The 25,967-nt window shown below is 41.5% G+C and overlaps 1 long non-coding RNA gene across 2 annotated transcripts; it reads left to right on the top strand.

The window, feature by feature from the left end:
• The first annotated feature begins 1,216 nt into the window (after nucleotides 1-1,216).
• Nucleotides 1,217-25,955, top strand: FAM230J (family with sequence similarity 230 member J). Of its 2 annotated transcripts, NR_165634.1 has the most exons (12): nucleotides 1,217-1,387; nucleotides 3,735-3,793; nucleotides 4,262-4,286; nucleotides 7,231-7,317; nucleotides 12,224-12,289; nucleotides 14,290-14,351; nucleotides 14,817-14,850; nucleotides 17,060-19,382; nucleotides 19,916-19,988; nucleotides 20,215-20,255; nucleotides 20,718-20,872; nucleotides 25,516-25,955. It is a non-coding gene; the product is annotated as a family with sequence similarity 230 member J (long non-coding RNA). The 2 variants fall into 2 exon arrangements; NR_136569.2 differs by lacking the exon at nucleotides 17,060-19,382 and having other exon boundaries at nucleotides 19,916-20,872.
• The last annotated feature ends 12 nt before the right edge of the window (nucleotides 25,956-25,967 follow it).

Below are 25,967 nucleotides of genomic sequence, written 5' to 3'. Positions count from 1 at the left end.
ATATAGAATTATATAGAATTACATATTATATTATATAATTATATATATTCATATATATTATATTATATATAATAATACATATTATATTATACATAATATTATATATAATATAAGGATGCAGGATGTAAAAGGAAATTATATATATGTTATATATATTATATATATTATATTGTATATAATTATATATATATATATTTGTGGGTGCCCTATTTCCCATCTCATAACTTATTTTAAGAAGCCAGCATAATAATGTGTGGGCTTGGGATTCAGTTTTTGAAAGAAAACACTGAGCCTTTGATGACCTTCCTGTACTTGTAAAAGCCCTCCTGTCTGCACGGCAGCAGTTGGACCTCACAGTGTGGATTGTGCCTTCACCCTGGAATGTTTATGCCCTATCGCCATGGTGATGGGATTAGGGATCTCCTGCCCTTGCTCCTAAGTGCCAGTATCTGTGCTGAGTTTTTCAAAGGTCAGAGCAGATTGAACCATTGTGGTTTCATTTTCCCTGATTCTGATTTTTCTTATGGGGAACCTGTGTGGCTGCATTCAAGGTATGTTCATACTGGCCTGTCAAATGCGATCTTTTCAAATTACTAGTTAATGCTTTCAAAATATGTTATTTAAAAAATTAGCCTCTGTATTTTCCATATGCAGTTATAAATATGTTTCATGATTATGTTTTATTCCTCAATTTATATATTTGATTATTGTACCAAGCAGAGTAACTTTGAAATTTTTCTTCATTTAAAAAATATGTATCTTGACTCAGGCCTGTAATCCCAGCACTTTGGGAGGCCAAGGCAAGAGGATCACAAGGAGAGGAGATCAAGACCATCCTGGCCAATACAGTGAAACCCTGTCTCTACTACAAATACAAACAATTAGCCAGGCATGGTGGCAGCTGGTGTAGTCCCAGTGTGAATTGGGATTCAGTTTATTCCCAAATTCCCAAATTATATATATATATAATATATTAAATATATTATATATATACTATATATTATATTATATATAATTATATATATATATATTTGTGGGTGCCCTACTTCCCATCTCACAACTTATTTTAAGAAGCCAGCATAATAATGTGTGGGCTTGGGATTCAGTTTTTGAAACAAAACACTGAGCCTTTGATGACCTTCCTGTACTTGTAAAAGCCCACCTGTCTGCATGGCAGCAGTTGGACCTCACAGTGTGGATTGTGCCTTCACCCTGGAATGTTTATGCCCTATCGCCATGGTGATGGGATTAGGGATCTCCTGCCCTTGGTCGTAAGTGCCACTACCTGTGCTGAGTTTTTCAAAGGTCAGAGCAGATTGAACCATTGTGGTTTCATTTTCCCTGATTTTGATTTTTCTTATGGGGAACCTGTGTGGCTGCATTCAAGGTATGTTCATACTGGCCTGTCAAATGCGATCTTTTCAAATTACTAGTTAATGCTTTCAAAATATGTTATTTAAAAAATTAGCCTCTGTATTTTCCATATGCAGTTATAAATATGTTTCATGATTATGTTTTATTCCTCAATTTATATATTTGATTATTGTACCAAGCAGAGTATCTTTCAAATTTTTCTTCATTTAAAAAATATGTATCTTGACTCAGGCCTATAATCCCAGCACTTTGGGAGGCCAAGGCAAGAGGATCACAAGGTGAGGAGATCAAGACCATCCTGGCCAATACAGTGAAACCCTGTCTCTACTACAAATACAAAAAATTAGCCAGGCATGGTGGCAGCTGGTGTAGTCCCAGTGTGAATTGGGATTCAGTTTATTCCCAAATTCCCAAATTATATATATATATTATATATATATATATAAAAAATATATATATATATAAAATATATATATAATGTATTTAATATATTATATATAATATATTATATATATTATATATAATATATTATATATATAATATATATAATATATTAAATATAATATATAATATATATAATATATTATATATATTATAGATAATATATATTATATTATATATAATATATATTATACATTATATAATTATATATTATGTATATAATATATAATATATAATATATATTATATAATTATATATTATGTACATTATATATTATTTATATATATTATATATAACATATAATATATATAATAAATAATATATATATTATATATATCATATAATATATAATATATATAATATATATATAATTTCCTTTTACATCCTGCATCCTTCAACGTTCCATTCCCCACCCCACAGATTAAGTTATTCCCCAGGGGAGAATATGGCAGAGTCTATTTTAATGCTGTTTTTAACCCAATTAAGAACCTATGAAATCATTACTTTCCAAAACTTTGGAACAAAGCCACAGTAGTAAGGATCCGTTGGAGGCTTTTCACACAATAAAATGTAACTCTCTTTGTTTTTAACATGTTTTTCCCTTCCTCTCTTCTTTTTTTGTGAAATGTGTATTTACTTTAATATATTTGTAGTAAGTCACTTCCATGCACATATTAATTTTTTAAAGTAATAAGCATGTGTATTGTCTACGTGTGAAAGAAAACACACATTTATTTTTATGCTTTGGAAGTTATCCAGAATCATGGAATTGTCAATCACAGTCAATCACCCAACCTACTCACCTTTCCAGTGTAATCTTAGTCAAATTTTTTTTTTTGTTATCCAATGAGATGCAGTATTTCAACTCAGAAAGATAAATAGAGTGAATTTATAGAGACTATTAACTAAGAACATACAGTTTGATTTATACTCAGAAGCAAGTAGATTATGTACATATATATGAAGATAAAAATTAAAAGGATAATTGTGTAAATTTGCATGTAGAGGGCTTTGAAAACCTGTTTACTTGTGAATGCTGTTTTGATGTATTGTGTCTTTGTTCTCCCGACCCATCATCCAGAGCTCTCTGCAGGAGCTAAGTGCTCATCAGTTCCATGACTTGGAAACTGTCTAAGTTTAGAGGCACTTGTATTTGTTAGTAAATAAGGCAAGATGATATTGTTTCACAGGTTTTAGTGCCGAAGACTGAATAGATAAGCTGCTCCACCCAGTACACTGGTGTTCATTTCATGGTCATCTCATCTGTTAACCATGGATATAAAACATTTATCTTCAATGATGGGGTTTTACCATGTTGGTCAGGCTGGTCTCGAACTCCTGACCTCAAATGATCCACCCACCTCCACCTTCCAAACTGCTGGGATTACAGGTGTGAGCCACTATGCCTGACTGATTATTTTCATAACCAAGAAAAGAAATAAATACAATTAATGCTGGTGCATGGTATTAAATCTAGTTTTTAAAAAATTCACACATAAACAGGGCAGAACCCTATACCCTCCATGATAAATGCAGTAGCAGTGTATGTGGGTCTGTGGAGGTTGAAAGGGACTTGGTCGATGTCAAGAAGGTAGTGGCAGTCCTGCTGGGCTTTTAAAGGGTCTGAAGAAGTGACAGGATGCTGTGGTTGAATCGTAGCATGTGTTTTAGCATTTGTTCATTTGGAGTTGATTATTTCACGTTGCTTTCATTTGCCATTACCTGGAAAGCCAAGGGCTCTACTCTCATTTCCTTGCTGCTCTTTCTTTGCCTTCCTTGGTCCGTGAAGAAGATGGTCCAGGAGAAGCTCATTCCATGCTTGTTAACCAGGCACGCCCCTAAGTTCCAGTCCCTGAGTCATTCATGAGTAGCACTGCCAATGAACTGACAGCCATGCTGTGTCCCTCCACATCCCCTAGGTGACTCGAAGAAGCCTTCCAAAAAGCGTGTGAAAAGGAAGCCCTACTCTACTACCAAGGTAAAGTAGCCTGTCTTTGCCTAAGATGTAAATGTTGTTTTCTTGGATCCTTTATTTTTCAGTTGATATCAGCTATGGGAAAATTCTCCACTACATTATAGGTGTTAGATAATATTTCCTTGGGGATGGAGGAGGTGTATTTTACCAACTGACACCTGATTCCAGAGGACGTGCAAAATTGGCAGTGTCAGATAGTACACTGGGTGTTAAGGGATGTTTTCTTCAGGAACAAGCTTTCCACTTTAGATAAGAATTCTGCAATTGCTACTCAAAAATTACCTAGACAGAAACATTCTTCAAGAAAAGCTCCTGTGCTTTCCTAAGGGAACTCTACTCTAGAGTTGGGGCTTTTGACTTGAACCTTATTTCCAATCTTGGTTACCCAGAGTTTCCAAGTGAACAAAAGACCTGTGTGAGCCATCCATAGCATAGCCTGATTCTCAGAGTGTTTTCCTTCTCTAATTACAGGTGACTTCAGGGAGCACATTCAATGGTACGTATTCTGGAATCACTCACTGGTTGTTAGAAAAGGATTCTACAGGAAATCTGGAGCTTAACTGCTGGCTTTTGTCCGGAGAGCCTCCATGATCCAAGACATCTGGTGGGAATGAGGATGTAGGGTATAGTAAAAGAAACTGGTTTTCCTGGTGACATACTCTTTTTATCTATGTATAGTTTCTGGGAACATGTTCACATTAGGTTGTGTGTGGGTATGTGTGTATTAGGGCGGGGGTGGGGTGAGGTGGTCTGTGTGCAAGTCTGCATGATTTGCTTGTGAATGTGTGTCTATCTGTGTTTCCCCCAGGAAAAAAATGTTGTGTTTACCCAGCACAACTCTCAGTGCCATTTTTCTTAATTTAACAAATCAGACCACATACTTTACTTACATTAGTTCACACCTCATCATCATCATGCCCATATGTTGTGAGCTTGTTTATTGAGCCCACATGCCAGATGGAGAAACTAAGCCACATAAATAAATGTGCTCTGGTTCACTTGCTGCATAGTGAAGAGTCAAAATGTTTCCTCATACGGTGCTAATGTTGAAGGCCTGAACTACAACCTCTATTTATCAGCCAGTGAAGAGATCACTATTCACCATGCAAGGGAGTTCCAGCACCCTCTATGCCTGGAATTACCCACGCCTGCAGAGATCCCAAACGCCATCCCTCACATAAGACAGCCTCATGATCTCATAATCCAGGTAGCTATGTAGACATCTTCCTGCAGGTGTCACATAGTCCTTAGTGTGAAACCAACATAGAAAGCCCATGTTTCTGATCAAATCACAGGTTCTGAAACACTAAGGGAGGCACTAAGTAGGACAACGTGGTGCCTGCGTGTCATAGCTGGGTCTCCTCAAGACATGGATCAAGTCCAGTAAGAATTGGGGAGATGCTTTAGAGTCTTGATGGAGTTATCACCACAAGCCCTCTGAGCTACACACTTTAGGGATCATGACCATTAAGTACTCAAATTACCATTTGGTTGTTATCCGGGTATCCGTCGTCCTTGTGGCAACCCTCTTGTGAAGCTGGTGTGGACAGCCTCAGTGCTGGAGCTGTGCCTCCCTTCTGAGTGGACCCTTTCTGTGTTAGCAGGTGGGTACAAGCGTGGGGGTCAGCACACTCAGTGGATTTACACACACAGCGTTGAAGAGTAAGGCTGGGCTTCATTATTTATACATTTTCAATAAATGATGATCTTCATAACATAAAATCAATGATGTAGTACACTAGAATACTGTCCCTAGTATTGAATCTTGTCTCTCAGCAAAGGGTTGCTTAAAGTCACGTGACAGATTCCATTCAACTGATGACACATGCTGTAGCAGCAGTTAAAGCAGTCATTTGAAAAGGCTTTTACTATAAACTTATGTGTGAGCCTGAAGTGGGGGATAAAAGAGGCGATTAGCTCCCCTGTGCCATGTTTCTATTATGTGCGTGGTGGAGGAAAATTACACAGGAAGGTGATGGAGAGAACAGAGCAAAGGATTGGACAGGTCCATTGAACCCATAAGACTATGGTGAGGTTAGTGAATGAGATTGGTCATTTTAGGTCAAATTTTACCCAGAGCTGGTGCAGCCACTGCCCATTCTTAGCCAGACCTTATTGCAGGCAGCTCTGATCAATAGTCAAGGAGGCAGTGGGGCTTGCAGACTTAATTCATTAAATCACCAAAGCACCAGCCCACACGGCCACTTTTCCAGTTAATTGACAGTAGCTTGCATATTCAGGTTTGATCAGTGGAAGGGAAGTTACTCTTTGCAGACCCATTTTTGACAATCATTTTGCGGTGTCAGAAGGTGTGAGCAGCCTCGGGAGGCAAGCAGTCCCTGGTCCCTCAGTGTAGTCACTGGAGGAGACAGTCACTGAGAGGCAGCTGGCAGGGTGAAGGGCAAGGGGAGGCAGGCCACAGAGATGACAGCCTTTAAGCTGTCATACTGGGAGGTCAAGGATCTGAAAGAGGAAGGAGAATTCTTTATCATTAAGGACCTGTCCTTATCTCAGGCATTTCCTCCAGAGCACCACCTTTGTCCACCCACACACCTTGGGCTAGGAGGACTGGAGAAAGACAGTGAGGGGTCTCTTGGGTCTGTGGCACAGGGCGTGATGAAGAGGTGGCAGTTTTTCAGGAATCTCTCTCTCTAGGGAACCAAATACATTTCCCATCTCAGGTCCTTCACTCAGCGGGGTTGAGGTTCTGCTCGTCACTTATCATCTCTGAATGTCAGCACCCTCAAGTGTAAAATCTCAGCCACAGCCCCTCCTCTGCACCCCCTGCAGGGCTGATGTTCTCCATAAACCATAAGGCGTCATGCCCACGGAAAAGCCGAACAGGAAAGCATGCTCCACTGCCCCGGAGCCATCCAAGTTCCCCCTCCATATTCCGCCACTGCTAAGTGTCCAGCTTATTCCTCCTGGCATGTAGTAAACACTTAGAGAACATTACTGAAGTACCAGTCCTCTCTAAGGTTTTCCTGTATTTAGTGATTTTTTAGCCCTGTACTGTGATACTAAGAAGTAGGGCTTAAATAGGGCCTAAAAAGTATTGCTAAAATTACATTATGACAGTGCAGAGAACTGAGGGCAGAGGGAGGACATGAGCTTGCCAGGTCCACATGGCTTAGTGGAATTTGAATCCGGGCCCCCACTCTGCACCAGCCCTGCACTCACAGTCATCCGGCTGTGTTCCCCTCTCCAGGAAGGCACTGCCCACGCAGTCTGTCTGATAGAGGTGTTGAGTGCTCACTGAACTCCGTGATCTTCCTGAAACCCAACTTTGATTCAGTGGGCTCTGCTTGGAAGCCTGTAAAAAAAGGATCATAAGTTTAAACTTAGAACAGATTATCACTATTTTCCCTCTGGTCTTCTGTCAGCAAGATGTCAACAGCCCTATCTATTGTCAATGCATTAACCAGCATCTTCTCTGATAGAGAATACAAGAAGATATGCTGTGCACACCAACCAGTGTAGGAGACCTCATGGCTCCCGGGTAAAGAAGAAGAGGTACCCACAAGAAGGTACTGTGGAAGTTCATTAATTAAGTTGATTCAAGAATTGCAGTTGCGGGGAGTATTCAGTGTCCCATATGTAAGAGGAAACTATGAAGAGACTAAGCCATATTTTTTAATGTGTCAGGATTCTAATTTGCCTGGTCAGTAAATATTGCTACCACCACAAAAGTAAATATCTACTTAAAAGTCAATTTTGGTTCATGTTTAATGATAGACAATGCTTCAAGCTAATGTCTAGAACTTACCTGGTTGTTAAACATAAGCATAGATCTCCCTGAAAGAGTGGTGCTATATTATTATTTTTCAATTAATATATTTCTTTAGAGAGTTTTAAATTGACATAAAAACTGAGCATATGGCCGTGTGTGGTGGCTCACACTTATAATCCCAGCACTTTAGGAGGCCAAGGCAGGCGGATCATCTGAGGTCAGGAGTTGGAGACCAGCCTGGCCAACATGGTGAAACCCCATCTCTACTAAAAATCCAAAAAAATTAGCCGGGTGTGGTGGCAGGCGCCTGTAATCCCAGCTACTCAGAAGGCTGAGGCAGGAGAATCGCTTGAACCCGGGAGGCAGAGGTTGCAGTGAGCCAAGATCATGCCATTGCACTCCAGCCTGGGTGACAAGAGTGAAACTCCATCTCAAAATAAATAAATAAATAAATAAATAAATAAATAAATAAAAATTGAGTATATAATACACGAAGTTCCCATATTATTCTGTCTCCTCACCCTCACTTCCTAATTTCACCTATTAGTAACATCTTACATTACTGTGGTACATTTGCTAGAATAATGAGAAAATATTGACACATTATTATCTGAAGTCTGCATTTGCATAATGTTCATTCTTTCTGTTATACATATATATGAATTTTGAAATATTTAAAACATTATGTTCACCCTTATGGTCTCATAAAGAAAATGTTCACTTCCCTAAAAATCCTCTCTTCTCATTAATCTCTGTCCTCTTTCTCCAGAAACCTTGGCAACTATTAATATTTTTACTATCGCTTCAGCTTTGCCTTTTCCAGAATGTCATATAGTTGGAATCATATATTATGTAGTTTTTTCAGATGAATTTATTGCACTAAATTGATGTACGCTTTAGCTGCTTTCATGTCTTTTTTATGCCTTAATGGCAAAAAATGGCACATTAAATCACCAAATAATATTGCATTAAATGAATTTTTGTCTTTTTATTCACCTGTTGAAGAATTCGGTAGATTTCATGAGAGAAACCATCTGGGCCTGGTGCTTTCTTTTTCGGAATGCTCTTAATGTGAATTCAACTTATTTAATAGACATAAGTTTATTCAAATTAGGATCCTAGCATGACCTTGGGAAGATTGCCTTTCAAGGAATTGATACATTTCACTGAGGTTATCAAACTGCGCTCATAGAACTGTTCATGATATTCCTTTTAATGCCTAACAGTTCAGTAGAGATGGCTCCTCTTTTATTTCTGAAATTGGTCATTTGTGTTATCTTCTTTTTCTTGGTTAGCCTGCATATCAATTCATTCATTGTAATGAGCATATCAAAGAACCAGCTTTTGGTTTTATTGATTTTCTGATGATTTCAGTGTTTTAATTTTATTGATTTCTGTGATGTTGTTTATTACTTTTACTTGCTTTCCATTGCATTCCTCTATTTTCTATAGTTCCCTAATTGAAACATGATATTACTGATTTTAGGTCTTGTGATTTTTAGTATATTGCATCCAATGCTATAGATTTCCCTCTAAGGACTGCTTTTGCTACATCCAGAAATCTTGCCAAGTCACATTTTCTTTTAATGTAGTTAAAAGTACTTTTAATTTTCTATTGAGACTTCTTCTTTAACCCAACAGTTATTTAAAAGTGCATTGCTAATTTGCAAATATTTGGGGATTTTGTGGCTCTTTTACAGTTGTTGATTTTTTGTTGTCAGGTGTGTGTTGCAAAAGCAGTCGTCTACCTCATCTTGCCACCACCCAAGATGGCCCAGGATGTGGGCTCTCCCTGAGTGAATCTTTGGCAATCTGCCAACCTGATGTGTTCGGCCTCCTTCTTTAGTCTGAGCTTGCCTTCTGCTTAGAAAGGGCCATTCTCAGTTCTGGCAGGGAGTTTTCCCAACATTGAGAAGGTGGCATTCTTACTCCCCACTGCAGCCTGCACCTCTGACCGGTGGTCAGCAGACAGGACAGAGGTCCTCATTAGACAGAGTTCAGCAGGGTCTCTGACCAAAGTGCATCTTCAGAGTCTGCACCTACCCACTGTGACCACGGGCAGGCTCTGAGTCCTAAAGCAGGAGGAACTGTGCGACCATCCTGATTGGAAATTTGTGAGGATCACCGTGTTACTCAAGTAAGGTCTTTGGAAAGTGTCGTATTACTACTGTTTGTGAACTGCTTGTTGGTGGCCTGGCTGAGCCACACACTTTATGAAAACCAGGACCCCTCAGCTGGTGTGGGTGTCTATGCAGCCTGAGACCCTCATGTGAACAGCCTCGTGGCAGCTGTCTTTGCCCCTTGCCACCATCAGTGCCTCCTTGTTCCTGGGCACTGCTTTCTCTGATGGTGCTCCATTGTTTTCCTGCACCTCAGTGTCTACAGCTGGATGTCTCTTCCGCAATCTAGGCGAGGGGGCATCAATGGCAGTTCTGCTGTGGCACTGCCCTCCTTCTTAGCTTGTCTTGCTCTGTCTTAGGCTCCCTCAAAGATCCCACCCTTCAGGTTCTTCCACAAGTTTCTTATTGAAATCCGAGCAGAAAACTATGACCAATATGACCAATCCTATACCCACTGAAGACATGAATGAAGAATTAAAACAATTCTCCATGGACTCTACCATATAGATCCCTAGAAGTAATTTCTAAAAAAAAAAAAATCAAGGAAAATGTAATAGTTTTCCATAAATTAGAATACCCTACATGTACAATTAAATGAAATGGCTACTATAGTCTTGAAACCAAAACCAGATAAGGTAAATTAAATTCTGTGATATTTTAAAATACTTTAAATTCTGACTAATGTGAGTTAATCTCAACATATGAAATAGTAGATTAACATTGAAAATGCAATAAATAAAATTAGCTACCTCAAGAGTTTAATGGAAAAAAATGTGATTATTGCAATAGATTCAGGAAATTCATGAATAACATTCACCCTATATTTGTAGGACAACTATCTGATTAACTTTAAGTGACCTGTGACAACCACTTGAATTAATGCTGCTTTCACAGCATATCTCTTGGCTTGTTAAAAACCCGACAAGAATTTCCGTAACATTATTTTTAACACCTATATTGGGTGTGAACCCACCATAAAGTTTGCCCACTGAAAAGGTCTAGAATTTGATGCTTTATTAAATTGATACTGTGTGCACCCAACACCACGATCTAATTTAAATATGTTTCCCTCACCCAAGTTCTCTCTTGCGCACTGGCAGTTAATCCCCACTCCCATCTCCAGCCCTAAGCAATACTGCTGTGACATTCCATCTCCATAAATTTCCCACTTGCTTTATAGAAATGGACATATATATATATTTGGAATCTGACTTCCCTCATTTAGCATACTATGTTTGAAGTTAATTGACGTGTTAGCACGTGCTGGTCATGTGTTTTCCTTCATAGTCTGCTGTGTTTATTCATACAGATAGTGTTTATTCATTTATCAGTTAATGGACATTTAATTGTTTTGTTATTTTCTTTGATGAGTAATGTAGCTTTGAGCATTCATATACAGTCATGTAATGCATAATGACATTTTGGTCAAAAAAAATTTTTTTTTTTCTGAGACCCAGGCTGGAGTGCAGTGGCACAATCTCGGCTCACTGGAACCTCCATCTCCCAGGTTTAAGCAATTCTCGTGCCTCAACCTCCCGAGTAGCTGGGACAACTGGCACACACCACCACACCTGGATAATTTTTGTATTTTCAGTAGAGACAGGATTTTGCTGTGTTGGTCAGGCTAGTCTCAAACTCCTAGCCTCAGGTGATCCACCCACCTCTGCCTCCCAAAGTGCTGGGATTATAGGCATGAGCCACCACACCCAGCCTAATTTTTTTAAGAAAGAAGGGAACTATTTTCTAAATTACTTTTGCCAATTTATATTCCTACCATGATGCATAGCACTAATTTCACCGTACAATGTATGGTAGGCCCCAATATGTAAGAAATGATGAAAGTAACACATAAAGATTAGTATAAGACAAATGAGATTATCGTTGTTGCTATCATCTTTGTCAAATTCTGAAAACAATCTGAGTATATTTTTATATAAATATGCTTGGCAACATAGCTGAAAAAAGCATTATCAGTTACATTTATCAGTAACAAAGACATAAATTTGAAGGGGGAAAAACACTTGTACTAACAATGCAATGTCAGAATTAACATAAAAATTCTGCTGGTCACTTTGGAATATTTAATTGCCTGGGGCAGTGTTTAGTAGACAAATGAGCATCTATGGAGCACCCAAAGTAGGGGAATCAACAGAACTTGGGTTTCAAAAGTTATCTGGGTTTAGAGCGTGAAACTTTGTTAGAGGACACACACCTTGCATGAGTGAGGTGCCTTGGTGTGTGTGGACGTATCATTATGCTTGGAGGTACAGCATAATGGTGGCTTCCTCCAGAAAGGGACATTTGGGGTAGATTCATGCCATCTAGACAACACAGCCTGATGTGGCATGGACATGAATGGAGGTGAAATGGTCAGTAGTTGAGAGGATCAGTCCTGACAAGGGCCGAGGTGAAAAACCTGGGAACCCCTTCAGGTGCAAAGTCTTCAGTTGAAAAAGGAGGTGGTCACAGGAAATACTGAGATGGGTCAGCAATGCATGGGAGACAGAGTTCTTGGCCCTGCAGGGTGAGTAGTGTGGATTCTCAAGTTTTCTCCTCTCTCCATTAATTTCTTTCCCAATGCAGATGACTTCCATCATACAGTCTTCAGCAACCTTGAAAGATTGGACAAGCTTCAGCCCACTCTTGAAGGTAAAGGAAGGCAGCTAACAAGACTGGCATCTGGGCTTGGCTGTGCATGTTTTCTATCGTGGGGAAATATATATAACACATTATTTATCATTTGAACCTTTTAACCAAAGTGTGCACTCCGTGGCATTCAATATATTCACAGGGTTGCATAACCAACACCACTATCTACACCCACAATTTTGATGATTTCTTACAAAACCTTGTCCACAATAAGCAATATAGCGCCTTCCCCCTATTTCCAGCCCATGGTGATTCCTATCCGACTTTCTCTTGTATGAATTTGACTATTCTAGGCACTTCATGTAATTACAATTATACAATATATTCCTTTTGTGTCTGGCTTATTTCACTAAGCATAATGTTCTCAATGTCCACCCATGTTGTATCATCTATCAAAATGATGTTCGTTTTTTACAGATGGATGATGTAGCATTGCATGCAGACCACCTTGCTTTTATTACATTCATTTGTTCACTGATGGTTGGATTATTTCCACCTTTTGGCTCCTGTGAAAAGTGATGCTACAAACATTAGTATACAAACATCTGTTTGATTTCTGTTCTCTATTCTTTGGGGTGCCTAAGAGTAGAGTTCCTGGGTCCAACAGGGGTTCTATATTTAACCTTCTGAGCCACTGCAGACTGTTTTTCACAGTGGCTGCAACTTTATCCATTTCTACCATCAATGTATCAGGGTTACAATTTCTTTACATCCTTGTTCACACTTATTTTCCTTTAAATCATCCTAGTAGGTGTATATTGGTGGCTGCTTGTGTTTTTCATTTGCATTTCCCTAATGACTAATGATCCTGAGCAGCTTTTCCTGTGCTACTATTTGTGGCTATATCTTCTTTAGGGAAATATATGTTGAAGTCTTTTGCCCATTTTTAAAGAGTTGTCTGATTTTTATTTAGTTAGTTTGTTGCTGTAGATTTTTGAATATATCTTAAATATATTTAAAAATATTCTAAATTTTAGTCTCTTACAAGATAAATGATTTGCAAATATTTCCCCCTTTGTGTAGAACTTTAGATTCACAAACTTCATTAATTTGTATGAAATCCTCAGCAGTTGACCCCAAACAGATAAGACTGAAGCAGTATTTTAGGAATAGTTGAAAGTATGATCACCACAAAACATAAGCGTAATCAAATCCTGCAAGCTACATGTAAGGCACAATGACAAATAAGGCAGCAAAGGGCCATCTGGTGATTAGTTCACCACACTTGTTGCAACTGTTTGCGCTGCAGAGTTAAAACATACCAGCATTCAACCCATGTCTCCTGTCTTGAAGTAAACTGTCGTATGTTGGCTGGCCTGAACAAGCGTAGATATTCTCCATCCTCAATTAATATGCATGCATGACAAAGAAAAGGAGGCCTGGATGAAAAAATATTGTGTGATTAATAATTATGCTTTAATTAATTTTAAAGGATATAATTTCAGTACTTCTAATTCTCCCATCAGCAGTTATAACAAAGGATTAGTGAATAAATACCATAGACTGTTTTGCCTAGAATTGAATCCAATCTGTCTATTAAACTTTGCTTTTATTCAAGTGCAAAATGCTAAAACACATAATAACTGCAGTGACAGCCACTGTGGATCCTCAGAGGTAAAAGTAGTCTTGGGACATAAATCCTGCAAGTAATATTGTTTTTACAGGTTTAGAAAACCATTTAGCTGGGTTTCAAACCTCACAGTGTGAGCAGTGGGACTCTCATCAAACTATAGCATGTGCTTCAGTACCATTTGTAGACTGACTCATTCCCATTGCCTTAAGTTGCCATCAGCAAAATGCCAGGGACTCTATTTCTTGCTCCTTAGCTCCTCGTTCTTGCCTGTCTTTCCACGAGGGAGGATTTTCTAGCAGGAGCTCAAGCTGTGCTTTTAATGAAACACATCCACACACACTGTCCTGTTGTCCACATTAAGCAGAGCTCCCTGAATAGCTCATGAACAAAAGCATCTATGACTAACTGTTGCTCTGTGTCCTCCTAGCCTCTGAGGAGTCTCTAGTTCACAAGGACAGAGGAGATGGAGAGAGGCCAGTCAACGTGAAGGTAAGGTTGCCTTGCTTTCTCTGAAATAGAAATGTTCCTTTCTTGTTGTCTTTCTTTTTCAACTGACTTTACATGTGAAAAGATGACAATGTCCATGACAGGTATTAAATGCAGTTTTCTGAGGGGGAGGAAGAAGTGACTCTTAGCAACTGATATGTAATCCAAAATGGCATTTAGCTATGATGGCTTCAGGTTGTAGACTGTATCCTTGGGGTCCTTGTCCTTGGAAGCAATGTCTTCTCCTTGGATTCAGTATTTTGCACTTGCCAACCTACGTGGACCTGAGAGATCCGCCATCCAGAAGCTGATGTCTTTTCCAGTGTGTATCCTACCCTTGTTTTGGAGGCCTTGAAGTTGACTACACTTTCTGATCAAGTTTTCAATATTCATTGAGAGAAACACAGCCTTGTGCAAACAATCCACAACATGACATACCCCTCAAAAAGCTTTGTTTCTGTATTGCAGGTGGTGCAGGTGGCCCCTCTGAGGCGTGAATCTAGTAAGTATTCTGGAATCACTTACCAAGAAAACAATCTGGATGCCAAGAAAGGTGTGGCATCCTTGCCTGGTTTCAATGTGAAGAGCCACCCTGATCCTGGGATTGTGATAGGAATAAGTATAGGGGAAGTGTTTTTTTAAAACCTGAATTCCCCAGGGAAAAATTATGGCCAAATTTTGAGGAAGCAGCTGTGCTCCCTTTTGGGTGGTGCTGAGTTGGGTGCTTGAGGATTGGTGGTGTCTTGTGTGAGGCTGCATCGTGTGGTGTGAATGTGTGTGTTTCTGTACAGGTGAGGCTGTGTGTTTTCTCAGGAGAGATTTCCCATTTATACAACCCAATCACCAGTGTCCACTTCTAACAATAAAATCCACCCCCGCTCTACTCTCTCTGTACAGTGACTCCTCCACCCTCACCAGAGCCATCCCCGGGTCTGCCTTATTATCCCCACTGCTCAGGTGGAGAACCTGAAGGGCCAAGGGAGTGGCCCCAGCTCCCGAGTTCCTGAATGAAAAAGTGAAAACACGAACCCAGGAGTGTGGGCCAGTGCTGACGCTGACATGCACTTAGTCATGGGGTGTTCACCACCACACAGGGAGTCCAGCATTCATGTATAAACCCTAAGGCACCGAGCCCAAAAGGCCCCAGACACTGCCCATCATCATAAAGTGGCCTCCGTGGTCACACAACCCAGGGCAGTTATGGGTTCATCTCCCCACGGACAGGCATAGTCATCAGTGTGTCAAAAGCACAAAGATCCCCAGGTGTTTGGCTCAGCTCACCGATCCTTTTTTTTTTTTTATTTAACTTTTCAGTTCAGGGGTACATGTGCAGGATGTGCAGGTTTGCTACATATATAAATGTGTGTCATGAGAGTTTGTTGTACAGATTATTGCATCACCCATATATTGAGCCTAATATCAGTTATTTTTCCTGATCCACCCCCTCCTCCCACCTCCCACCCTCCAGTAGGCCCCACGCTCACAAATTCTAAGAGGAGTGGGGGACCACAAAGGCCAGTGTGGCCCACTTCAGTTGTGAAGTTAATTTGCTCAGCAACTGGCCAAAGTCTATAAGGATGGGTGATGTATTTTAGTAGATTTAGTAATACTATCTTCCCAAGCCCTAAAATGCTCAAATCCTGCCAGCCAAAAATGGTGAGGAGGGACAGATAGGAACTCTGTGTGGCACTTGGTTATTAGCCTGGCTTCCATCCCTTAGTGGCAACTCTCTTGTATATGTGGGTTAAAGACCCTCAGCCTCAAGCCAAGCCTCCTCCATGAGGAGCCATCTCACTATTGACTGGCTAGTGCCGGGTATGGCCACCAGCCCAACTGAAACAAAATGTTGCTTTAAAACAAGTGTAAATCTCATACATACAACAGGCAAATGCAGAAGCAGTGTGGTCTCGCAAGTTGTAAAGAGGACAGTCGCAATTTTGCTGGACTTCAACCTGGGTAGAAGACACGAGGGAACTCTGTCACTAAATCACGGCAGAGTTCAAGGCTATTTCGTGTTATAGAAGGTGGCCTTTAGCTACTAGGCAAAGGCCTCTGTTTCTCATTTCTTTCCTGTTCATCTCCTTGGTCATCCTTCTTCCGCAAGGGAAACGAGCCCAAGCAAAAGGCAGTTTCAATATTAATTTGACCGAGGTTTTGTGCAGTTAATTATCATCCAGGTAATCAGGTGCAACCCAGTCTGCCTAGCAGCCCCCCTATCTCTGCTCTGTGTTTTCATTTAATGAACATTTTGGTCTACTTACTATGTGCTAGATTTTCTCGAGACCAAGTAAATGAGATAGAATCTTTATGTTGGCAGCTAAGTTAGATTTCGCATAACTGACAAAAATTAAAATTTCTGATTTCTTGTAAAAATATTTTGTATGTGTGAATGCATACTGAATGTAAAGTGGATAAAAAACTCACACTTGCACTCATGGAAGGCTTTTCATGAATTTGTCAATTTTTATTTTTTATATTTCCCCACTTCACTGGATAATGCATACCTGAACCTGGAAACTGATGCCCACTGCAGAAAGTGTTCTGAGCCACATCCCTTAGCTTCACTAGTGCAGGTCCACCTGGGAGGATGTCCCAGCATCAGCTTGGCCCATGCTGTGATCAGCCACCTCCATGCACCACACCAAGCAAGCCCCTGGGTGATTCACAGTCTCCACTACCAGGGCACTGACCTTAACTCTGTGTTCTTCTAGCTCCCCATGAGGACACCGTACACAACATCACTAACGAGGATGCCTCACACGATATCACTAACGAGGACGCTGTCCACGGCATCGCTAACGAGGCCGCCGACAAGGGCATCGCCAACGAGGACGCCGCCCAGGGCATCGCCAACGAGGACGCCGCCCACGGAATCGCCAGCGAGGACGCCGCCCAGGGCATCGCCAACGAGGTCGCCGCCCAGGGCATCGCCAACGAGGACGCCGCCCAGGGCATCGCCAAGGAGGACGCCGCCCACGGCATCGCCAACGAGGATGCTGCCCACGGCATTGCTAACGAGGATGCCGTGCACGGCATCGCTAATGAGGACTCCGTATACGACATCGCTAATGAGGATGCCATATATGACATCGCTAATGACACCGTACAAGGCACACTAACGAGGACGCTGTACACGACATCGCTAATGAGGACACCATACAAGGCATTGGTAATGAGGACGTTGTATATGACATCGCTAACAAGGACACTCTACAAGCCGTCGCTAACAAGGACACTGTACACAACATCGCTAATGACGGCACCATACAAGACATCACCAATGAGGGCGCTTTATACGACATTGCTAATGGCACCGACAAGGCACGCTAACGTGGACACTGTACACGACATTGCTAATGAGGACTCCGTATACGACATCGCTAATGAGGGTGCCGTATATGACATCGCTAATGACACCGTACAAGGCACGCTAACGAGGACGCTGTACACGACATCGCTAATGAGGACACCATACAAGGCATCGGTAATGAGGACGCTGTATACGACATCGCTAACGAGGACACCATACAAGCCGTCGCTAACAAGGACACTGTACACAACATCGCTAATGATGGCACCGTACAAGACATCACCAATGAGGGCGCTTTATACGACATTGCTAATGATACCGACAAGGCACGCTATCGTGGACGCTGTACACGACATCGCTAATGAGGACTCCGTATACGACATCGCTAATGAGGGTGCCGTATATGACATCGCTAATGACACCGTACAAGGCACGCTAACGAGGACGCTGTACACGACATCGCTAATGAGGACACCATACAAGGCATCGGTAATGAGGACGCTGTATACGACATCGCTAACGAGGACACCATACAAGCCGTCACTAACAAGGACACTGTACACAACATCGCTAATGACGGCACCGTACAAGACATCACCAATGAGGGCGCTTTATACGACATTGCTAATGATACCGACAAGGCACGCTAACGTGGACGCTGTACACGACATTGCTAATGAGGACACCGTATAAGACATCGCTAGTAACTATCGCAAGAACAAAAAACCAAACACCGCATATTCTCACTCATAGGTGGGAATTGAACAATGAGATCACATGGACACAGGAAGGGGAATATCACACTCTGGGGACTCTTGTGGGGTGGGGGGGGGAGGGATAGCATCGGGAGATATACCTAATGCTAGATGATGAGTTAGTGGGTGCAGCGCACCAGCGTGGCACATGTATACATATGTAACTAACCTGCACAATGTGCACATGTACCCTAAAACTTAAAGTATATATAAAAAAAAAAAGACATCGCTAGTGAGCACGCTGTATACGACATCGCTAATGAGGACACCATACAAGGCATCGCTAACGATGACGCTGTACACAACATCACTAATGATGACACCGTATAAGACATCGCTAATTATGACGCTGTATACGACATCGCTAATGACACCGTACGAGGCACACTAACAAGGATGCTGTACACAACATCGCTAATGAGGACAGTGTATAAGCCATCGCTAATGAGGACACTGTATATGACATTGCTAACGAGGACACTGTACAAGGCATTGCTAACGAGGACGCTGTACACAACATCGCTAATGACACCATATAAGACATCACCAATGAGGATGCTGTATATGACATCGCTAATGACACCCACAAGGCATGCTAACGAGGACGCTGTAGACGACATTGCTTATAAGGACACCGTACAAGACATCACTAACGAGGACGCTGTATACGACATCGCTAATGAGGACGTTGTATATGACATCGCTAATGAGGATGCTTTACAAGACATAGCGAATGAGGTTGCTGTATATGACATCGCTAATGAGGACATTGTATATGACATCGCTAATGAGGACGCTCTATACGACATCACTAATGAGGACGCTGTATACAACATCGCTAATGAGGACGCTGTATATGGCATCGCTAATGAGGATGCTGTATACGAATTCGCTAATAAGGACGCTGTATATGACATTGCTAATGAGGACACTGTACAAGACATCTGTAAAAAAGAAGATGCTGCCAATGTAAGACACTTTTCTTTGTCTTGAACAGAAATGTTACTTTCCTGGCTTCTTTCCAATCAGATGTAGACATGAACATCTGCCAGTGTGCATTATGGATGTCATCTGCAGTTTAATCAAATGTAGACATGAACATCTGCCAATGTGGACTATTTATGACATCTGCAATTCCCTTGGTGTGGTGCTATTGATTGGCAGCCTCTCACCAACCCATGCCAGGCACACTGGGGTGTGGTAGATGGCAGCATCCACGATCCACTGCAATGCAGAGGTGTTTCCCTCCACAGCAGTTTTCCCCCATGGATTAAGAGTTGTGAAACTGCCAATCTAGATACACTTTAAAGATAAATTCTGTGGGAAAAGGTCTTGTCTTTTCCACAGGTGTCTTCCGTGCCAGTTTTGGGGGACTTTGACCTTTGACTCAATCACTATACCCCTTCTTATTTTCTCTCTCAAGTTGTCGAGAGACTATCAGATCTGTGTGACGTGTATGGCATCATTTCACCCTCCTAATGTTTTCTTTTCTATAATTGCAGGAGCCATTGACACTGGAGAATGATACCTACCCTGAAATAACTCACTTCCTGAGGAAAAAACGCCATCTCTAGGGTACAGAAACCTGATTCTGGGCTCCTTTTGGGAAGGAGGATTTGGAGTCTGGTGAGAGCAAATGATTTTGCAAGTATAAAACAATGTCCAGAGAGGCTGTAGGGATATCTGTGAGCCCAGAGGAAACACCAGGGGATCCTGTGCGAAGCACCATGGCTTCAGCTAGGGTGGGAGGAGTGGGTGGGCCTCTCTCTAATGACTTATCCTGGTGTTTGTGTTTCTAAAGATTTGATTGTGGAGAGCATATCTGATGATGGGGATTTGTAGGTAGGTAACTACTTTCCACGTAAGATCCAATTGGAGAGAGTTCCCAGGGGCCTTCGGGGTATCCATGCTGCTTGGGAGGTTAAGGGAGGGGGCATGAAATCAAAAGGAAACAGGAAATATGTGTCATATTGGATTTGGTCTTTTCCGGGTTTATTGGCATAATAGTTAGAACTGTCTCTCTGGGCTATGAGGGTGCTGTGATATTTAAAGGTGGTCTTTCCCAGAACACCTGGCCTTTTCTTTTCTGCCTCTGCCAAACATCACAGCCTTTGGGTTGGATTAGTCAGCACCCCTTGGGATTGTGCAGAAGAGGTTTGGGGTTGCATCGAGTGTCACCTGTGGTGAACAGAATCTGAGGGACACAACTCTCTCACAGGCACTTCCTTCAACCTGGAGACAGAGTTCTCCTGGTGTGTGCCCAGGGGTGGAGGAGAAATTGACAGTCTGCCTCTGAACTTTCAGGACTTTAAAAAGCACTCATGTTTCCATCCTCACTGTTGACTCCTGGCTTAAAGGGATCTCCCGGGGTGAGTGAGGAGGCGGGATTGGACCCTGGCAGTCTGACGGCAGCACCTGTGTTCCTCTGCACTGGGCCGTGGATGACATTACACACCTTGGTGAGAATCAGGAATTGAGGCTAACCACATCTGAAATTGAGATGGGCCTTGAGTCATATAAATAGTTTGGAAAAGATGCATTTTACTACGCTATTGAAAGAAACCATTTATTTCTCACTCCAGCAGGATAAATGGTTTTCAGTATCCACTTAACTGCTCATTGACTCTTACTGTAGATGAGGAGGTGGCCAGCAGCCCCTGCCCTCCCCCAGTTGTAGGCCCAAGGTAACCAGCAATTGACTGGATATAATGGAAGAGTGGTGCATTCGGAGGTATCTGTATTAATGGGACCCACATGATATGGATGAGAGCTATTAGGGTGAGAAAAAGCCTGGGAGCACAATGAAATATTTAAATATTAAACAAAACATTGTTGAAATCTCCATTGTACTTTAGTAGTTGAAGTCATTCTTGTGGTCATCACTGCCTTTCCCAAGCATAACAAGCTACTTAATATCACATGGACCCGTGCCATGAGGAATGATGATCAGTTTGTAAAATGCCAATAAAACAATTGCCTATATAAGCCACAATGTTTCATCCATATATTTCAATTTCCATGTGTAAGTATAGTTCAAATTTCAGAAATTTATTATTATCTAATAGAATATGCATGGTATATCAATGAGCAATTATCATACTGTTTCTATTAACAATTATTTGTATGATGAAAAAAGCAGACTCCCATTCTTGGATTTTTCTCAGTTTGCACACATTAGCATGACAGCCCCATTTCCACCTGACATGTGCCAGCAAGAGGCCAGGAACAGAGGCTTTTCTTATTAACTAAGATTTCTAAATGTATTACGTATTCACATTTAGAAACTCTAAATATCATAAAAGGTTAGCAAGGAAGTTTCCCTTCCACTCTGAACTTCCAAACACCAAGTCAACATTTTTGTTTGCATATCATCCCTGCAATCTATGTGCAAATAGAAGCATGCACCTGGAATGCAGGCTGATGTGTGATCGTGTTTACACAAAGTCCTCTGCACCTCTGCATATATCACTGGGCAATGCACCTTAGTTATCATTCCACATTTCAAATGTAAATCCATTGTATTGTTTCAGAGCTATAAAGTACTGCACCCCATGACTATTCCCAAAATTACTTAAGCACCCCGCTATGGGTATCCATTTGTTCTGTTTCCAGTCTTGCTCTTATAACCAATGCTGTAGTGAACAGCACTGTGTTGAGAAGCGGTGAACGTGGGCATCTTTGTCTTGTTCCCTTCCTCAGGGGGAATGCTTTCAACTCTCCCCCATTCAGGAAAATGTTGGCTGTGGGTTTGTCATAGATAGCTTTTATTACCTTAAGGTATGTCCGTTCTATGCTGATTGTGACGAACGGTTTTAATCATAAAGAAATGCTGGATTTTGTCAAAGGCTTTTTCTGCATCTATTCAGATTATCATGTGATTTTTGTTTTTAGTTTTATTGATGTGATGTATCACATTTATTGACTTGCGTATGTTAAACCATCCCTGCATCCCTAGTATGAAACCCACTTGAATCATGGTGGATTATCTTTTTGATATGCTGTTGGATTCAGTTAGCTTGGTTGTAGCATTTCTTATTATTCCATCTGTGGAATGTATTGGTTGAAATAATGAAAACATGTTCTATCCTCACTGCTTAGCACTTTGTGTTTCTTTAATAGCCTTCCCAACAGGGCAACATAAAAGCAGGAGCCCTGCTAGTCTCCCCTTAACCCGGAATCCCCCCTTCTCCACAGCTCGCTCATTGGACAGGATAGACTGGGCGCCCAGGCTTCAAGGTAAGGACGTGCTCTGTCACCTAGAGGTGCAGTGCTTGGGAAGGCCAACCTTGGAGGGTTGCCTGCCAGCTTTACAGTGACAGAGGTGTTGAGAGGGACTGACCACCAGTGCAGAAGGCTGTGCTTTGTTGGTGACATAAAGGATTGTTTCACAGATTGTTGGGGAGGGACAATCCCAAGGCCTCCCCTGGCCCTGGTGCTGGCTCTGCACAAAGGCAATAAGAGAGGGATGCTGGTAAGGGCTGACCTGTTGCTGTGCTGGGGAGGAAGGTGCTGGGCTGAAATTCAGGAGGCTGAGGATGCAGCAGTCCCATAGGAGGTACATGACCTTCAGGATACATTTTCTTCATTGATGATCAATGGAAATGAGAAATCACTGACTATTTTTTCTATCATTGGAATCTACTCTCCACTGCTCATGCTGTTCCTGTCTTTTGGGGAAGATGGAGGATCAATCAGTGTGCGCTGCACTGAGTGGAAGGAAGGAGAACTGTGACAAAAATTAAGGAAGGATGAGAGACGGGAGGGCCCTTCATCCAGCTGCTTGCAGAGTCCTCCTGAGGAGGAAAGCCCCGTGGCTCCCTGGCGAAGGAGCAGTGAGGGCTGCGTGACTCCCACAGTGAAGTGTGTGGTATGTCTGAGGACACCCAGGCTGGTGGTCCATGAGGAGCCAGTGGCAGAGTGAGAAGCAGAAAGGCCAGGAGGGTGGCTGGAGGCCAGGCTCTGAGTCATTCTCCATGTGATGGAAACAGCCGGAGCCCAGTGGACTTGGAGGTACAGGATGCGGTGGCTGATGACAGAACAATGTGGAGAGAGGCGTCATTTGTCAAATCCTTACTTTGTTCTGGGCATTGTGCTAAAAATTCTGATGGCTCATCCCATTTAGGGGCTGAAAGTTGCAGAGGTTTAGGAAGCTCACCCACGATACTGGAGCCCCCATCTCCTGCCCTAGTGCTGTCCACCTTCTCACCCAGCCACCACCTGTTTCGGGGGAACACACAGAAGTGGTAACCTCTTATGGTGAGGCAAGTAAATTCTGCTGTTTTTGTTATTCACAGAAAAACACTGGCTCGTGTGGGTTGGGAAGGTGAAATACCAGAAGTATTTCATCTGGTTATTTCTACCCATGCGACTCCTATAGTATTGAAATGCATAGGTTAGCATTTTTGGCCAATTTACTCAGCATTCTGGGTTAAAGGCTTTTATTTATTTTATTTATTTATTTATTTATTTATTTTTGAGATGGAGTTTCACTCTTGTTGCCCAAGCTGGAGTGCAATGGTGCGATCCTGGTTCATTGCAACCTCCGCCTCCCAGGTTCAAACTATTCTCCTGTCTCAGCCTCCCAAGTAGCTGAGATTATAGGCACATGCCACCACACTGGGCTAATTTTTTTGTATTTTTAGTAGAAATGAGATTTCACCATGTTGGTCAGGCTGGTTTCGAACTCCTGACCTCAGGTGATCTGCCCTCCTCGGCCTCTTAAAGTGCTGGGATTACAGGTGTGAGCCACCACGCCTGCCCTAAAGTCTTTTAAAATTCACTTGTATAAGTTGACTTAGTTTTCTTTAACCTTGTAGAAAAATACAAAAATAGCAATCTCTTTTATCACACAAATAATGTCTTTTTAATGGAGTGATTTTTTTCTAATTGAGGTATTATGTACTTTTCATTTACTAATTATTGTTTACATTTGAAGTGTTTTATGAATTAATATTTAATTGCATAGATGAAGATTACTAGTTATAGGCATTTTACTAACCAATACTCATTAAGCATAGCGTGGATTCCTATGACATCAAGGAGCTATTTTATTTGGTAAAACGAAAAAGCACAAGAATGAACGAACGCAAGAACTGAAACAGTGGAGACACCTAGAATGACTTGTCTAAGATCTAAATCATTTTGTTGTCTTCCCAGCGTACTTATTATCCTGATCATTGTCATCAGCATTGTTTGGGTCCTTTTAGCACAGATTTCTCAAAATGGGTAACTCCATAACAGTTGGAAGCTTACGAATTCATATAATTTGTAAGAGGTCAATTTGGAAGTACCTATCTATTTTAAAATTCCAATAACCTGGGAATTTCATCCCATGTCTAGAGTCTTTTATGTAAAATATTTCCACAATTAGGAGAAATATGTGCATGGGGATTTTCTATGTAGCGGTGTTTTGATGGAATAGAAAATTGGGATAAACCAAATTTCCATCACGAAGGAAATAGTAATATGCTGAATAATAATACAGCGAATATTATGCAGGCTTTAAACATCAAAAAAGAGTTCAACTTCTGACTTCCGATGATGGTGTTGAAGCAGGTCACTGCTGGTTTACATTTGATTTTCATGTGGGAACTCTGGAAGTCCGCCTTAGTGATTTTACATGTGGCTAAATTGAGCTAATGACAAGCTGTTCGAAGTATGGCAAAATGGAACTTTAAAACAGTATCTTGTCAACAACCAAGAGGACCTGTTTCACATAAAGCCCACGCATTCATCTGCCTGTCCATCATTCTGTCTGTCCACACGGGCATCATTCGTTAGTGGAACTGAGTGCCCGCTGTCGAGCTGACAAGCCCATAACCTCCCTGTTCCTAGTCACACATTAATTCTTCAACAAGTCCCTTTTGATAGATTGTGATTAAGCTTAGCTACTATTTCCAATTGCTTCCCCAAACGTACTTCTCACTGTTCTCCCATCACACCCTTCAGCCCATCCATGCGGGGTTCCTTTGCTTTTCCCACCTTACACCAAACTCCCTATTTTTACTCCCACTTTTACCTCCTCTCCAAGACAAAACAAACAAAACTAGCATTTTAAAACTTAGTTGTAATCTTTCTTCCTTCATGAAAATTTCTCCAACAGCCACTCCCACGGTCCTGTGTGTTCCGGATATTTTAAAATAATGGCTATAAGGTTGAGCACTTCAGGATACGCTGTTTTGCTGTGTGCAGATGGAGGCAGTGGCTGGAGTGAATGAACGGCAACACTTGCTGGCAACCGGCAGAAGCTGAGAGACAGGGAACAGGCTCTCCTCCAGAGCCTCCAGGAGCCAGGCCTTTGGACACCTTGAATGTGGGCTTCTGGGAGACCATGCGTTTCTGTTATAAGCAGCCCAGTCTCTGGCAGTTTTTACGGCTGCCCCGGAACACTCATCTATACCTGTCTGACAAGGTCAAGCTCCAAGGAAGGGACTCTCTACATATCTACATTGTTTGCAGATTTTACAATAATCATTTATTCTTGCATGGCTGATCATTGTTAACCAATACAAATAAAATAATAAAGAAATGACCCACATTTTATGTTGGGAGTTT

Source organism: Homo sapiens, chromosome 22, assembly GCF_000001405.40.
Source record: "Homo sapiens chromosome 22, GRCh38.p14 Primary Assembly".
NCBI lineage: Eukaryota > Metazoa > Chordata > Mammalia > Primates > Hominidae > Homo > Homo sapiens.
The sequence above is the reverse complement of the archived record's forward strand: the minus strand, read 5'-3'. Positions and strand labels throughout refer to the sequence as shown.